General features: G+C 38.5%; 1 pseudogene across 1 annotated transcript in view; it reads right to left on the reverse strand.

The window, feature by feature from the left end:
- LOC283788 (FSHD region gene 1 pseudogene) overlaps nucleotides 1-11,036 on the reverse strand; it is a 43,294-nt pseudogene extending 32,258 nt beyond the window's left edge. Inside the window, exons 1-2 of the transcript NR_027436.2 lie at nucleotides 10,520-11,036; nucleotides 8,688-8,757 (exon numbers count right to left, since the gene is read on the reverse strand). The product of NR_027436.2 is annotated as an FSHD region gene 1 pseudogene (transcript). The remainder of the gene's footprint in view (nucleotides 1-8,687; nucleotides 8,758-10,519) is intronic.
- Between the last annotated feature and the right edge of the window lie 5,710 nt (nucleotides 11,037-16,746).

Here is a 16,746-nt window from a genome sequence, read left to right on the forward strand (position 1 = left end):
CAGGAAACTGACGTTGATATAATCCATGAAGCTTATTCAGATTTCACCAGTTTTACATGTACTTGTTTGCATGTATGTGCACAGATTCCTGCGATTACCAGCACAGTCAGGATTAGGTTTTTAAAATACAAAATAGCAATATACAGCCAGGCATGGGGGTGCATGCCTGTAATCCCAGCTACTCGGGGAGCTGTGAAAGAGGATCACTTGAGCCCAGGAGTTCAAGGTTATAGTGAGCTATGATCATGCCACTGCACTCTAGCCTGAGTGACAGAGCAAGGTCCTGTCTCAAAAAAAGACCGAAACAAAACAAAAGGCAACATGTGAAGGTACAAAGTGATATATGGAGAACGGTCTCTCTCATGATAGACCCCAGCCATCTATTCATGCCTGCTTTCCAGAGGCAATGCCTATCATAATACTTCTTAAAAATGTCTCTACAGGAAGACTTTCTAGCATAGTAAACTTTTTTTTTTTTTTTTGAGACGGAGTCTCGCTCTGTCGCCCAGACTGGAGTGCAGTGACACGATCTTGGCTCACTGCAACCTCCGCCTCCTGGATTCAAACAATTCTCTACCTCAGCTTCCAGAGTAGCTGGGGTTACAAGAACCTGCCACCATGACCGAATAATTTTTTTTGTATTTTTAGTAGAGACGGGGTTTCACCACATTGGCCAGGCTGGTCTTGAACTCCTGACCTCGTGATCCACCCGCCTCTGCCTCCCAAAGTTCTGGGATTACAGATGTGAGCCACCGCTCCCGGCCAGTAATCTTAACTATGATTTTAGATTGAAAGCAAAATGAGCAGAATCTATGTCTATGTTTACTAATTTCCAATTTGCCAATAGAAATGTTAGACTTTAGCCACAATTATTTTAGCACTTGTTATAAAAGTTTATATCTTAATGTTAAAAAATATCCTCAAAACTCCTCCTAAATTGTACTTTAACTAGAGTAGAAATGAGTCAATCATTAACTGGATATGACATATTAAGGAATTCTTGTTAATTTTGCAAGGTCTGATAATGACATAGTATAATGCATAAAAGTAAAGAACAAAACAGGTGATGAGAGAAAGACATACCACGTTAAGAAATGTACATTTATGTACTTATGGGTAAAATGACATAATATCTGTGATTTTACTTAAAATTTTCTAGGAAAAAATGTGTGTGGGGGTGTGTATGTAAATGAAACGAGATTGGCAAAACATTGATAATTAATGCTGGGGCCTGGGCACATGGGGGACTAATTATATTCTTCTATGTATGGATTAGTTTGGATATTTCCATAATAAAAAGGTTTTAAAGATTCAGTTAATTCCACTGCACAAAATTTTCTATTCAACTAAACATTTCATGCTTTTCATAATCAATTTTAAAATACATAAAATTTCAGCTAAAATGAAGTTGGACCCTTATCTAACACCAAATACAAAAAGTAACCTAAAATAGACCAAAGACCTAAATGTAAGAGCTAAAGTTAGAAAACTTTTAGAAGAAAATGGGAAAAGCTTCACGACAATGAATTTGGCAATGATTTCTTATATAGAACATCAAAGGCACAGGCAAGAAAAGAAAACACGGACAAACTGGACTTCATCAGAATTAAAAACTTTTGTGCATCAAGAACCACTGTCAAGAGAGTAAAAGGCAACCCAGAGAATGGAGAAAATATTTGTAAACTACATACATTATAAGGAATTAATATCCAGAGTATATAGAGAACTCCAAAAAGACAAACACCACAATTCAAAACTGGGCAAAGGATATACATGGACATTGCTCCAAAGATGATATACGAATGGTCAATAAGCACTGGAAAAGACGCTCAACATCACTAGTCACTAGGAAAATATAAATCAAAACCATAATGCAATACCACTTCACACCCATTAAAATGCTATTATCAAAACAAACAAAAAACGGAAACCAAGAAAACCAGAAAAACAAATGTTGGGCAGGATGTGGAGAAACGGAAACCCTGTGCAATGCTGGTGGGAAGGTAAAATGGTGCTGCATGTATTTAAATGCCACTGAAGTGTACACGTAAAAATAGAAAAACTGGCAAATTCTATATTCTGTATATTTTACCTCCACACACACGAAACCAATGGAGAAAAAGAAAATTAATCAAAATTAAAATTTCAGCTAAAGATGATTAGAAAGCAATAAAACTAATGACAATTTAGATGATTGAGTTATAGCTACAATTGTTTTCAGTAAAAGAAATAATGCTTTATTCAGAATCATTATGAACAGTGTTATGATTAGCAAGTCTTTCCTATAAATGTAATAGTTAATAATTGTAAATTAGTTTTATTTTGTATGTTCTATGCCATGTTCACCAAGTACACTTAATATTAAATAATTTAAATATAATATCTCATTAATGTTTCGCAAATGAAGAAGAAATTTCTGGCAGACAAGCTCCTCAAAATTTTCACACTCTGTCCAAGTAGTGAAATGATACAATAACATTACTTATAATATTGTCAACTGAAAAAGAAATTACTTTGAGCAGATGCCAGTATTTCTTCTCAATGAGATTTCAAAGAATAAGAAAGCTAAATACAGTATCATCAAGAATTAAATGTGAGCATTCTGCCTACTTTCTGCAAGTGGCCTACATTCAATATTTGGAGGTATGCTTATATGTTTAACGACTAAAGTAACATAACATAATACTTAACGGTGCCACTCGGGGGTTTTAGCTGTGAAAAAGCAGTGGATCCTAAGAACAGTGGGCACTGAAGTAGCCTGTCTCCATGTCAGGTTACAGCTCAAGCTGTGTATATGCTGCAGACGTCTGAGCTGAATTTAAGAGAATCCGCTCTAAAACATTACTTGCTATTTAGACACATGCTTAAAGTTATTTCCTTTTAAACCTTAGGCAGATGATGAAATATTCCCGCTGTGTTGTCTCACAATGCATAACAAAGCTTTTCACATATTTTCAGATAGTTGAGAATTTTTCCATATGTCTGGCATGCCTGTAATCCAACACTTAGAGAGGTGGAAGCAGGAGAATCACTTAAGCCCAGGAGTTCAAAATCAGCCTAGGCAACAAAAGGAGACCCCCATCTCTACAAAAAAATTAAGAAATTAGCTGGGTATGGTGGTACAAGACTGTGGTCCCAGCTACTCGGGAGTCCGAGGTGAGAAAATTGCTTCAGCCTACGAGGTCGAGGGTGCACTGAGCCATGATCATGTCACTGCACTCCAGCCTGAGCAACAAAGCAAGAGCCTGTCTCAAAAAAAAAAAGAAAAAGTCCCGATGCACCCGTGTCATGGCTGATAAGATACTACCAGGGCACCCTCATTCTAGCATCAAGGCTGTGTGACAGCTCACCTCACCTTCTGACTAACCCAGTGCTTCTGTGCTAAGGGCCCCCTTAAACCTCTACCTTCATTATGTGCTTGGCACAAAGGAATGATATATCCTAGATTTGGAAATGGAATTTTCTTCCCCAATCTTACTGTAGTCTAAGTACCCTTCACAGAACTTCTATTAACCCATAGCTTACTTAGCTTTAGTTCCTGGGTAAATCAAATCTGTGTTTTGCAAACTACGATGTTGTAAGTTCAATTGCTTCTGAATCTAGCAGAGCTCAGTGAAACTCTTTGCTTACAGACATGCTCATTTTTATTAATGTCACACACGGTATTCTCCATGTGAAAGACAGAATTTCTTTCATCCTGGTTACCCATCCCTTCAGATCCTTGTGAGGAACCAACAGAACAGCTTTAAAAAATTAAAAGGTTTTTCCTTTCCCTTGACAAATAGGCACATGCTTACATATACGGCAAGTTTAGAGAATCCACAATGCAAAAGAAGGTGGAAGGACAAAGAGAAAAAGATGCAGAAGGACTTCCTCTTCCAGCCAAGATGGACTTGCCCTCCCACCATGACCAACGAGAAAACTGAAACTAGATAGAATATTTGAGAGAACTGTTTTCGGGGATTGGAACACAGGCAGAACAGGACTGTGATATTTGAGAACAGGAAAACACAGGAGGCAAATCTCACATACACTTCTCTTTTCTGTCCAATGGCAGTTTCTTGACCACACAGAGAGAGGTAGAGACCTCCAAAAATGAGGCAATGTCACTGTCACGAAGCTAAGAGTCTTGCAGTGCTAACGTGTTTGGAGTTTATAGAATAAGGTACTGGAGAAGAGGGAACTACATACAGGTGAGGCCTCAAAAGAGTATGCCCTGGGGCCAAGGGCTGGGGGGAGTGCATACAGTAGGCAGGCTCCACAGGGCCTCTGCAGAGTGGCTGGCACTTCTGAGGGCTGAGTGGAGATGCCAGAGATCACACAAATTTGGGACATAGCAGAGTGGAGAGAACTCACCAAGTATACCTAGAACATGTGGCTGGGGCCCATGAGGATGAATCTTTCCTAGAGTAAGAGTCACTGTCTAAGTCTACAGGCAAAAACCTAATAAATAAGCACAAACTAACAAAGGCCCAGGCTTGACAGGAGCAAAAGGGTGGTCAAATAATTTAACTAGGCATCAAGACATTTAACAGAAATAAAGGTTAAAATGTTATGAAAATGAAAGACTGAATTTATAAGGAAGACTTAACAATCCTAAATGTGTACACATGACAGCTTCAAAATACTTTAAGCAAAAACTGCTCAAGTAGACAGATCTAGAATTACAGCTGGAGATTTTAACATAACTCTCAATACATTGTAGGATGAGTAAAAAATCAGTAAGGCCACAGAAGATGTGAATAGTCACAAGCTCCACCAGTTGATCTAACTGACATCTTAAGAACACTGAACCACAGGGTGCCACAGCTCATGCCTGTAATCCCAGCACTTTGGGAGGCCAAGGCGGATGGATGGCCTGAGGTCAGGAGTTTGAGAACAGCTTGGCCAACGTGGTGAAACCCCGCCTCTATTAAAAATATATTAAAAAAATAGCCAGGCGTGGTAGCAGGTGCCTGTAATTCCAGCTCCTCCGGAGGCTGAGGCAGGAGAATCACTTGAACCTGGGAGGCGGAGGCTGCAGTGAGCCGAGATCACGCCACTGCACTCCAGCCTGCTGGGCAACAGAGTGACACTTCATCTCCAAAAAAAAAAAAAAACAAAAACAAAACTCTGAACCAAAACTGCAGAATACACATTATTTTCAAGTGTACATGGAAATTTACTAAGAAAGTATGTTTTCCAACTATACTATAAATGAATTAGAAATCAGCAACAATAACATACCTATAATATCTCTATGTAGTAGAAATTAAAAACAATACACTTTTAAATAACTCTAGTGTCCATGAAAAGAAAAATCACAAGGAAAACTGGATGATATTTTGAATGGAATGAAAATGAAAACAAAATGTGTTGACTATAACTAAAACTAACATGGAATGAAGAGATCCAACTCCCTTCTTAAGAAGCAATAAAACAAGAGCAAAGTAAACTGAAAATAAGTTAAATGGAGGGAAAAAAAGGCTGAAAATAAATGAAATAAAACATGAAAAAAAGAGAAAATAAGTAATACTGAAACAGGCTTGTCCAACCTAAGGGCTGCATGTGGCCCAGGCCAGCTTTGAATACAGCCCAACACAAATTCATAAACTTTCTTGAAACATTATGAGATTTTTTTGCTTTTTTTTTTTTTTTTGGCTCATCAGCTTATCATTAGTGTATTCTATGTGTGGCACAAGACAATTCTCCTTCCATTGTGGCCCAGGGAAGCTAAAAGATTGAATAACTCTGTATTAAAAGATCATTAATGATCTAAAATAAATGATCTTATAAAGAATTGATAAACCTCCAGCTAGACTAACTGAGCCAGGAAAAAATGGAAAAAAACACAAATTACCAATATGAAGAGACTGCAATACAGATTAGATTCTACAGACATTAAAAGGATATTAAAGGAATATTCTGAACAATTTTATGCCAATAAATCCAACAACTTGGATGAAATGAAATTTTCCTAAAAGACACAAATTACCAAAACCGACAACAGAAAAATCTGAAAATATCTCTTAAAAAATCTTAATTCTCCCACAAAAACAAAAACCAAACCAAAGAAAACCCTCTAGGTTCAGATGACTTCACTGGTAAATCCTATCAAACATGTAAAGAAGAATCATACCTATCTTACACAGCTATTTCCAAAAACAGGGAAGGAGACAGCAATTCCCATGTAATTTTATGACACCCAATATCACCTTGACACCAAAATCAAATAAAGCCATTACAAGAAAAGGATACAAAAGTCCAATATCTCCCATCAACACCAATATAGAAATCTTAAAAAAAAAAAAAAAAAGCACCTAGAAATCAACTCTAGCAATATCCCAAAGGACAACGCACCACAACCAAGTGGGGTTTATCTCAGGGATGTAAAGTGAGTTTAAAAGTTGAAAATGAAACCAATGTAATTCATTGGCAGAATGAAGAAAGTTGTGTAATCATCTCAACTGATACAGAAAGAGGCACTTGACAGCATTAAACATCCTTATGATAAAAACTCCCAAGAAATAAAGTTTAAAAGGAATGTCTTCATTTTGATAAAGGTTTTCTCTGCAGTTCCTACAGACATCATACCATATGGTGGACTACTGAAAGCTTTCTGCCTAAGCTTGGAAACAATGCAATTATGCCCATTCTCATGACTTCTGTTCAACACTATGGAAGTCCTGGACAGTATAATAAACCAATAAAAAGCAAGACAAGACATAAGGATTAGAAAGAAAGAAGTAAAATGATAGTCACAGGAAACATAACTGCAAATTTCTTAGTGTTCTATATAAACAAACCACTAGAAGTAATAAGTGAAACAGACGTTATCAGACTATAAAGTCACTATACAAAAATCAATTGTATATCTACATACTGACAGCAAACAACTGGAAAATCAAATTCAAAAGTTCTACTGACAGTAGTGTCAAATTATAAAATACTTAAGAATAAATTTTTAAACAGGCATGCAATACTGCTACATTGAAAATTATGAAATATTGAGGCCCAATATTAAGATGTTGATTCTCGCCCCAAATGATCTGGACTCAATACAATTCTCCGAGAAAATCCAACAGGCTTCACTGTAGAAATTAATAAACTAATAGTTAGTAAGTACAAAGTTGGAGCACATACTACCTGATCTCAAGACTTCATGAAATTATAGAAATCAAGAGAAATATACCAACAGAAAAACAGACAATCGATAGAACAGAGTCCAGAAATAGACCAATACATAGAAAGTTAATTGATTTTTTATGAAGATATGAAACTGGATTAATGCAAAAAGGAAACACCAGTGGTGCTAGCACAAATGGCTATCAAGATGTTAAAAAAAAAAGTAAATCTTGAAACCAAACTCACACCATGCCAAAAATTAATTTGAGATTAATGACAGATTTAATGTAAAAACTAAAACTATGATGTCTCTGAAAGACAATGTAGAATATTTTCCTGACTTTGGGGTAAGCAAAGATCTCTTAGATCAAAGAGATAAGGCAGTAACCATAAAATTAAAAAATAAACTAAGCTTTATAAAAATTAAAAGCTTCTGACCATCCTGGCTAACATGGTGAAACGCTGTCACTACTAAAAACACAAAAAATTAGCTGAGCGTGGTGGCAGGTGCCTGTAGTCCCAGCTACTTGGGAGGCTGAGGCAGGAGAATGGCGTGAACCTGGGAGGTGGAGCTTGCAGTGAACCGAGATTGCGCCACTGCCCTCCAGCCTGGGTAACAGAGCGAGACTCCATCTCAAAAAAAAAAAAAAAAAAAAAAGCTGTCCATCCAAAAACCACCATTAAGAAACTGAAAAGGTAAAACTCAGACTGGGAGAAAAGACTGATAACACCATTAACTCTTGGCAAGGATGTAACTGGAGAACTAATTAATTCTTGGTGGGAGGGTAAAATAGCACAACCACTTTAGAAAATTTTTGGCAGTTTCTTACATAGTTAAACATTCACCTATCCTTTGACACAGCAATTCCACATCTATATATCTACCCTAGATATTTACCCTAATTTTAGAATTGTTGAATTGCCATTTCAAAAGCAATGATCCTTCCAGAACATTAGCTTTCTACCATTCCATATTTTATATATTTTTTAAGCTACCATAATTTATGAAGATTCAAAATGCAACTTGCCAAGTTTTAAAAGAGAAAAAAAAAGTATGGAAACAGCTAAACAGAAAACAGGCTGGTTAAGTGTGTTTGGGCCAGTTTATTTCTAGTATCATTTACAGGCTACCCTGATACTGTATTTAAAATTTTCATTCATTTCAGAGTTCACAAAATAATGATTTTTCCTGTGAAGATACTTCGTTTAAGAGACAACTGACTTCTACAACTAAAAGTTATACATGTTCAAAGAAAATAACTTGTAAAATATAGTTCGTTGAATAACATTTACATTAAGCCTTTATAATTATGTATCAGAATTTCCGGCTATTAAGCAGTCTAATGTTGCCTACTAAGTCAGAGAGTTGTAATTCTCTCCTGTGCTCTGTTCTGATAATGAAGTAAAGGGATCAGTAGCATCTACTGTGCTAAAGAATAAATGGAATTTACAACTGTAGGTAATATTTAAGCACTTTAAGACTAATATGAGTACATCATAAATTTCTAACTAGGAAAATATTTTCAATGAGATCTCAACAAATGTTAACTTTTTTCAGAATAAAGCACTGAAAACTGACTCACCAACATATCAAACTGGGTTTCTTCATCTTCTTCTCTTTTTCTCTTCTTCTCTTTGCTCTTTTTCTTCTTACTACAGGACATAATTTATACAGATGAGTTTAGATATATTGACTTGTGTGATAAATAAATATTGTAAGATTGAAACTTGGAAGTCTTTTAAGCTGTTACATTTATAAATTATTGATTTAGGAAGACTTACATTGCTATGCCCTCTTAAATACAGTACTGAGAAGTTGCTTCAGGCTTTGTACATATTATGTTAAAGTTCAAAGCAGATTGTAGAGCCACACTGCCAGATTTTATATCCCGATTCTGTCACTTCTTAGCTCTGTGATTTTTGGAAAAGGTACTGAATCTCTCTGTGAGTCAGTTTCCCACTTAAAAAATTAGGATAGCAACTTAATTCTTAAGGCTATTGTGAGGATTAAGAGGTAATATGTATCTTCACACATTGCTGGTAGAAATGTAAAATGGTGCAGCATCTACAGGAAACAGTTTAGGGTTCCTCAAAAAGTTAAAGAGTTACCATATGACCCAGCAATTTTACTCCTAAGTATGTATTCCCAAGGGAAATGAAAACATACACCCACAAAAATACTTACATAAGAATATTCACACTAGCATTAGTCACAATAGTCAAAAAGGGGAAACAACCTAAATGTTCATCAACTGATGAATGGATGAACAAAATGTTACATCCATACAATGGAATACTACGCAGTCATAAAAAGGAACAAGTGCTACAACAATGATGGACCTCAAGAATGTTATAAGTGAAAGAAGCCAGATACAAAAGGCCACATGTTGCATGATTTCTTAGGAAATATTCAGAATAGGCAATTTCACATAGATAGCAGACTAGTGGTTGCCAAGGACTAGGAGAGGGGGAGGATGGGATGTGACTGCTTTAATGGGTAGGAAGAGATTCTTCTGAGATGATGAAAATGCTGAGCAACTAGACAGTGGTGAACCTCTTGAATATATACTAAAAACCACTGACTGTACAGAATGGTGAATTTTATAATTATGAATTACATCGCAATAAAAAAATAAAAACCCAAGAGCGATTTGAAAAAAGTTAATGTGCAAAGTGCCTACAACAATTTCTTGGCGTATTGAAAGTGCTATATGAGCATTAATTATGATTATTACGATAATCTTAAGACACTCTTGTATGCATTTTCATCATAAAGTTTTCAGAAGATAACTCACCACTCCTCACAGGAAATTCACAGAGTAAAAATCTCACATTCATTCAGGATATACCTGCCGTTTATTCTGGCATCTTCATGAGGCCAGACTCCTCGAGAGGGTTCTCAAGGGCAGTGGCTTCAGCTCACTCCTTGATACTTTCTTTCCATCTCGCCTAACAATATCAAAACCTTTGTTTATCACGGAGACCAGGAGGAAATGCTCAATATTTGCATGTACAGTCAACCTCAGGCAAATATGCCAGTTAAAAAAGAAACGGGGATATGAATGCACAGGTATTTTTCTCCTAAAGAGCTAATAAATTACCACTACGACCTCCTCACATTTGGCTCAATTTATTTACTGCATATATGTTCTCTCATTTAATCCTCACAGTCTTCTAAAGGTATAAAAAATGGTCTGAAAGTATAAATGTATAAACGGAGGTTCAAAGATATTTGATCTCTTAATGAGTAAATGGAAGTTCAGACATATTAACCAATTTCCTGGTTTCACTCTACATATTAGCTTAGAAAAAATTAATCAATAATTTTTCCAGGAAGAGACAATGGAGAAAAGAATAATCCCTAATAAAGGAAGTTATTATCATGAACTACAAGATTAGACTAACGGAGACCCACCAGGCAGAGGCCTGCAGAGATGCCTCAGAGGACTGAAACTCGTGGGTACGGGGCCACGGGTCACCCGCCCGTCTATCCTGTTTCCAGGGTCGTCAGTGCGGGAGGCTGCCCCTCTCTGCACAGGCGCCAGGAACTGCGGTCCGGCCTCCGTCCAGCCCGGACAGGGGCCAGGGCGAAGCCTGGGAGGCCACAAAGCCGGCTCTCCGCGCCACGGCTTCCACCGGATTCGAGGGGGGTGGAGTGCGTCCGAAAAGAACTGAGGAGGCTCCCGCCGGAGGTGCAGGACCCACCTCTTCGTCTTGGTTCCCTTGAGCACAAGCTTGGTAGACTTCGCATAAGAGTACTCGGCCATGGCTCCGGGACACTTCTGCGCGGAGAGGCTGAAGCCGGCTCAGGACGAGTATGTGACCCGGAGCAGCACCAGGGCGGGGAGGAACAGAAGTGGAGGCAAAGTAAACACTCCCTGACAGCGTACGTCTGTCCAGAACCCGCCTCCGTCTTCACCCAAACGCTGAATGGCTGAGATTTCCACTTCCGGTTTTCTGCCCCGGGGGGGTGGGAGCTATGGCAGCCACAGAGGGCCGAAAGGTGTCCACACACAGCTGTTCCCTGGCGTCCTCTTGAGGAGCACTTGAGGATTCGTGCCTCCCAGAGGTGGGGAAAGCCCGCCCGAGGCGCCGGTGCTGACGGTGGCGGGGCTGCCGGGCGCGCTGTGGAACCGCCTCCCGCTAGAGCTGCGGGCTGGCGACGGTCTCCGCGGGGGCGGGAAGCGGCTCAGGCTTCCCTCGTCGGCCTGCGGCGGCGCGTCTGGAAGCGCGGGCCACTCGTGCGCGGGTCACTCGGGGCTGTGCCTCGCGCGACTGTGTGTGCAGGAAACAAGCAGGGAATACCCTGAAATAGAATGAAGCGCCATGTTGAGGGCCGCAGACGTCGCGAGTGCTGTGGGAATGTGGGCTGAGGTGGAGAGTTACAGGCGCGTGTTACAGGCTCAGGGCTCAGGAAGAAGCCTAATCGTGGAGGCGGCATCTGAGGAGGGTCTTGAAGGCTGGGCAGGCTTTTGCCCGATAGAGATGGAGGAAGCTAGCCCTGTCTGATGGAGGAAACAGGGCAGAGGCGTGGAGGGAGCCGTGCAGCGCTGGTGTGAGGAGCCGCGAGCAGGCCAGGCCTGTAAAGCAGAGTGATGGGAACCAGGATAGAGAAGGCAAGTCGGGGTCCTGTGGTCGCTGAAGAATTTGAATGAAATCAGTAAACAGGTGAGAGGGATCCATCGCAAGAGCATGGGATGCAACGAGGAGTAGTCCACGGTGATTCCTCTGCAGCGGTGGGTATTATTAATCGCGTATGTGACACCAAAACGATGGGTATTATTGATAGCATATGTGACACCAAAACCACCCCACTCAAGCTGTGGCTCTTTCCCTAAAGTAGAAAACAGACCAGTTGGGTTCCAAGCATCCACGAAGATCTTATTAAATTTGTGATCCCTGGTGGCACCATGGAGTCAGGATTGGCTCACCTCAAACCTGACTCAGAAACAAAACCATGTCAATGTGCAGAGATGAACGTCCTTACCCGTTATCATATTTTCTGGTGTTTTCACAGTGCTGCACTTCCTAATCCCCATTCCACCGCAGTCCACATGCCATGATGCCCAGAGGCATTAACAAAGGAGACACACAGGGGCTTCTCACGTTGGGTTTTCATTGTTTTGATGAAAATCTCAGTTTCCTCATCTCATACAATGTGGTTAGTAATAGTATCATTTAGGGTTGAAGAATTAAATGGTACGAATTATATAGGGTGCTTATTATAACCTACATGGAAAATGCCTGGGATATGTTAGCTATGCTCATCACCAACATCGTTATATGATGGTAATAATCAGATAGTCAGGAAGGCCGACACAAAGAAAATGGATACATGCTCTGAGGGAATGAATGTGGAGAGATCAGAAGGTCAAGAACAAAGCCCTACAACATGTCTGCAGTAAAGGGATAGAGAAAAGAAAGGCTATAAAAGAAGGAATGAAACAGAGTTAGAGTAAAATTATAAAATCAAAGCTAAGGAGAATTTCCAGAAAGGGTAATATCATTTAATATCATAGAAGTTTAGGAGCACAAGATGGGAAAAAGGCCTTTGGGTAACTGACACTGAGGCAGTCTTTAGGGAAGCTCCATTTCCGATAGAGGAGTAGACAGAAAGTCAGCTTGAAGCAGGGACTAGGTGAAGAAGCTGTTGGCTGGTCGCATGGGGAAATAAATAAGGGATGGCATATGCCATTTTTCTGGATTTCTTTCTTTCTTGCCCAGCCTCTATATATGCACAGAGTTTTGCGAAAACTTACAAAAAATAAAAATGAAACCAATTTCGTTTGCAGACTCAAATACAATGCTTTGTGTTAGAATCAAGATAAATTCATGCCTCTCCCTTCTATTGTCACCGTCAGTTTTGAAATTAAACATCAGCTTTTCTTCTTCATGAAAATCATTTTCAACTCCTTCCAGGTGTTGGTGGTTTGGGGGAGTTACATAAGCAGTCAGGTCTTGATGAGTAGAGGAGGGAACAAACACTTTCAGCAAAGGCAGAATTCTGAAATTCTGCTCGTATTTTTCTTCAGTAACTTTCCTATGTTTGTGAGGTTATTCAGTCATAAAGATCCTAGTGAAATTTTTTTCAAGCTTTACTAGTCGTAATCACTGTGGACGTTTGTTTAAAATGTGTATTCCCAGGCCTCTCACCTGCTGATTCTGATTCCGGAGATCACGGATGGGACTCAGAATACATATGTTTGACAAGCATCACAAGTGGTTCTTATGGTCAGACAAATTTTGGAATCTAACCAGGAATTTATGTTTTTATGACTGGCAGCTAGAAAAGATTCCTAGAGTCTTTGCTTTTTGAAAATAAAATATTTCTGTTTTAAAAGGAAATTGTATGACTAGATACAACATTTATACATGTGGCACATGTATTATACTGTGTGTTTTTGTCATATTTGCAGTCAAAGATGTGTAAGAACACTCTGAGAAAAATTATATATTAAATGCAAAGAGGGGTAAGTTAGGGTGGGGGAGTAATGGGAAGGGTGTGCTTATTGTTGCTAAAAGGTAGAAAAGCCAGAATTATAGCATCTAAGGTTGCAAATAGCACATTGTAAGTTGAGGGAGCTTCATAATCATGTCTGAAAACTTCTTTGATATACTGAGTTGTAAACAGTGGCTTTGGACAATATTTGACGGAGAAACCAACTATGCTTTAAACCGTTCATTTAAAAGGCTTTAATTAAAGGAAAGTCTTTGTATTTACCTGAGCTAATTTAACTTCAGGATTTTAACAAATTACTAGCCCTTAACCTCTTAAAAATTGTCTTTCATTTCAAATGAAAGTTTAAGGTGGCCTTTATGTTCGATTGGTATACTTGTGTGAACACTTAACGGCAAGGTACTGTACATTTCTAAATGTTTACTTCTTAATTTTGCTGGAAGAAATATACTACTCAATTGATTATTTTTAAAGCAAAGTAAAACAATTTATTTTGACAAGCGACACTGTATTTTCCCAGTTTTCTGGTGGTAAAGATTAGGCTTAACATCACTAATCATCAGAGAAATGCAAATCAAAACCAAAATGAGATACCATCCTATACCAGTCAGAATAGCTACTATTAAAAAAATCGAAAAACAACAGATCTTGGGAGGCTGTGGAGAAAAGGGAACATTTACACATAATTGGTGTGAATGTAAATTAGTTCAGCCACTGTTGAAAGCAGTTTGGAAATTTCTCAGAGAATTTAAAATAGAATTACCTTTCAAGCCAACAATTCCATTACTGGTATATGACCCAAAGAAAATCAGTTATTCTACCAAAAAGACATATGCACTTGCATGTTCATCGCAGCACTATTCACAATAGCAAAGACATGGAGTCAGCCTAGGTGCCCATCAACAATGGATTGGATCAATAAAATGTGGTACATCCACACAGTATTATTAGGCCATTCTTACATTGCTATGAAGAAATACCTGAGACTGGGTAAATTATAAGGAAAAGAGATTTAATTGGCTCATAGCTCTGCAGTCTGTACAGGAAGCATGGTGACGGCATCTGCATGGCGTCTGTGGAGTCTCCAGGGAGCTTTTACTCATGATGGAAGGTGAAGAGAGAGTAGGCACATCACATGGCCAGAGCAGGAGCAAGAGAGAATGGGAGTGGGGTTAAGTACCACACACCCTTAAACAACCAGATCTTGAAAGAATTCACTATCACAAGGACAGCATCAGGGCATTAGAGATCCACCCCCGTGACCCAAACACCTCCTACCAGGCGCCACCTCCAACACTGAGGATTACATTTCACCATGAGATTTATAGGGGCCACCTTCCAAACCATTTCACACACCATGGAATACTATGCAGCCATAAAAATAACAAACTTATGTCCTTTGAAGCAACATGGATGCAGCTGAAGGCCATTATCCTAAGTAAATTAATGCAGGAATACAAAACGAAATACCACATTATCTCACTTATAAGTGGGAGCTAAACACTGGGTATTCATGGACATAAAGATGGAAAGAATAAACACCGGGACTACTAGAGGGGAGAAGGAGGAAGGCAAGGTTTGACAAACTAACTATTGGGTACTATGCTCATGTATTAATCTGTTCTCACACTGCTATATAGAACTACCCAAGACTGGGTAATTTATAAAGAAAAGAGGTTTAACTGACTCACAGTTCCACAGGCTGTACAGGAAGCATGGCTGGGAGGCTTCAGGAAACTTACAATCATGGCAGAAGGTGAAGGGGGAAGCAAGGCACATTCTACCATGGTGACAGGAGAGCAAGTGAGCCAGGGGGGATGTGCCATATGTTTAAACCATCAGATCTCATGAGAACTCACTTACCATCTAAGAAGAGCAAGGGGGAAATCTGCCCTCTTGAGCTAATCACCTCCCACCAGGTCATTCCCCCTACATTGGGAATTACAATTCAACATGAGATTTGGGTGGGGACACAGAGTCAAACCATACCAAATCAGCATCTGGATGATTGGGATCATTCATACCCCAAAACTCAGCATTATGAGATATACCCATGTAACAAACTGGCACATGTACCCCTGAATGTAAAATACAAGTTAAAATTATTTTCAAAATAATTAATGAATAAATAAATATGATTAAATGAAATTAAAATTTTGAATTAAAAAAATTTTAGAGTGATAGTGATTTCAGCTTGCAGTTATGTAAGTTATGTAAATGGAAACAGTGAGTTATGTAGGGTTCGGATCAATTGCACTCTCTGTACTAAGCTGATGTCCAGTTGTTTGGATGAAAAGAAAAGAGGAGAAACATATAGATCTAACAGGAAAAAAATGGACAAGTTTTTATGATAAAAAAAGAAGAATGGAGGAAATAGGACTGAGGTTATAGGGATTGATAGATATTAATAGATGACTAAGTCAAAAGCCACTGGTTGCAGAAAATATTGATTAATTTTGTTTTATTCCAGTCAGACAACAAAATTCTATAACTGCCTCTAGAGAAAACCCTTTTAGCCCTGTAATTATCTTTATTCCAAGCACCATTCCATTCATTAAGTAGTGTATAGAGTGATTAATAAGTGAATTATTCACAGAATTAAGACAGAATTTTTGAGTATTTCAGGATATTAATATTATAGTCAATGAACTAAAATAAAATTTGACTAGAGGTGTGATCACCATGAATGCCATGTTGGTATCTTGTTAGATTTGGCAAACTAAAGTTGACAAATTTATTAATAAAATAAACATTCCTTAATGATTAATTTACATTTAGTACACATGCTCTTTCTTCTTCCTTCCCTTTCTTATTCATTCATTCCTACAGAGCAGTGACTTTCATTCTAAGATTCCCAGAATCCTAAGGAATTCTTGAATGTCATCATAGGGAGCCAGGTGTGAGGATTCCCAAAAGTTGTATTTAATACTTGAAAAATCTCGAGAAGTTATATATTTATGCCAGAAAAACTATACAGGTTTTAAGTTATATATATATAGTTGAATACTTTTTATTTCTATCCAGAACGAAGTCATTAGAGTTAATAATGTTGATTATTTCATACTGACCTAATGGGTAGCCTTTATATATCATTGATTACTTATTAGTATAATAAGAACCCCCCCAAAATTACAAAATAAATATATTTTGTGGGTTTTTGTTAAGGCTTTTGAAACATAAAATCA

Source organism: Homo sapiens, unplaced genomic scaffold, assembly GCF_000001405.40.
Source record: "Homo sapiens unplaced genomic scaffold, GRCh38.p14 Primary Assembly HSCHRUN_RANDOM_CTG10".
Taxonomy (NCBI): Eukaryota; Metazoa; Chordata; class Mammalia; order Primates; family Hominidae; genus Homo; species Homo sapiens.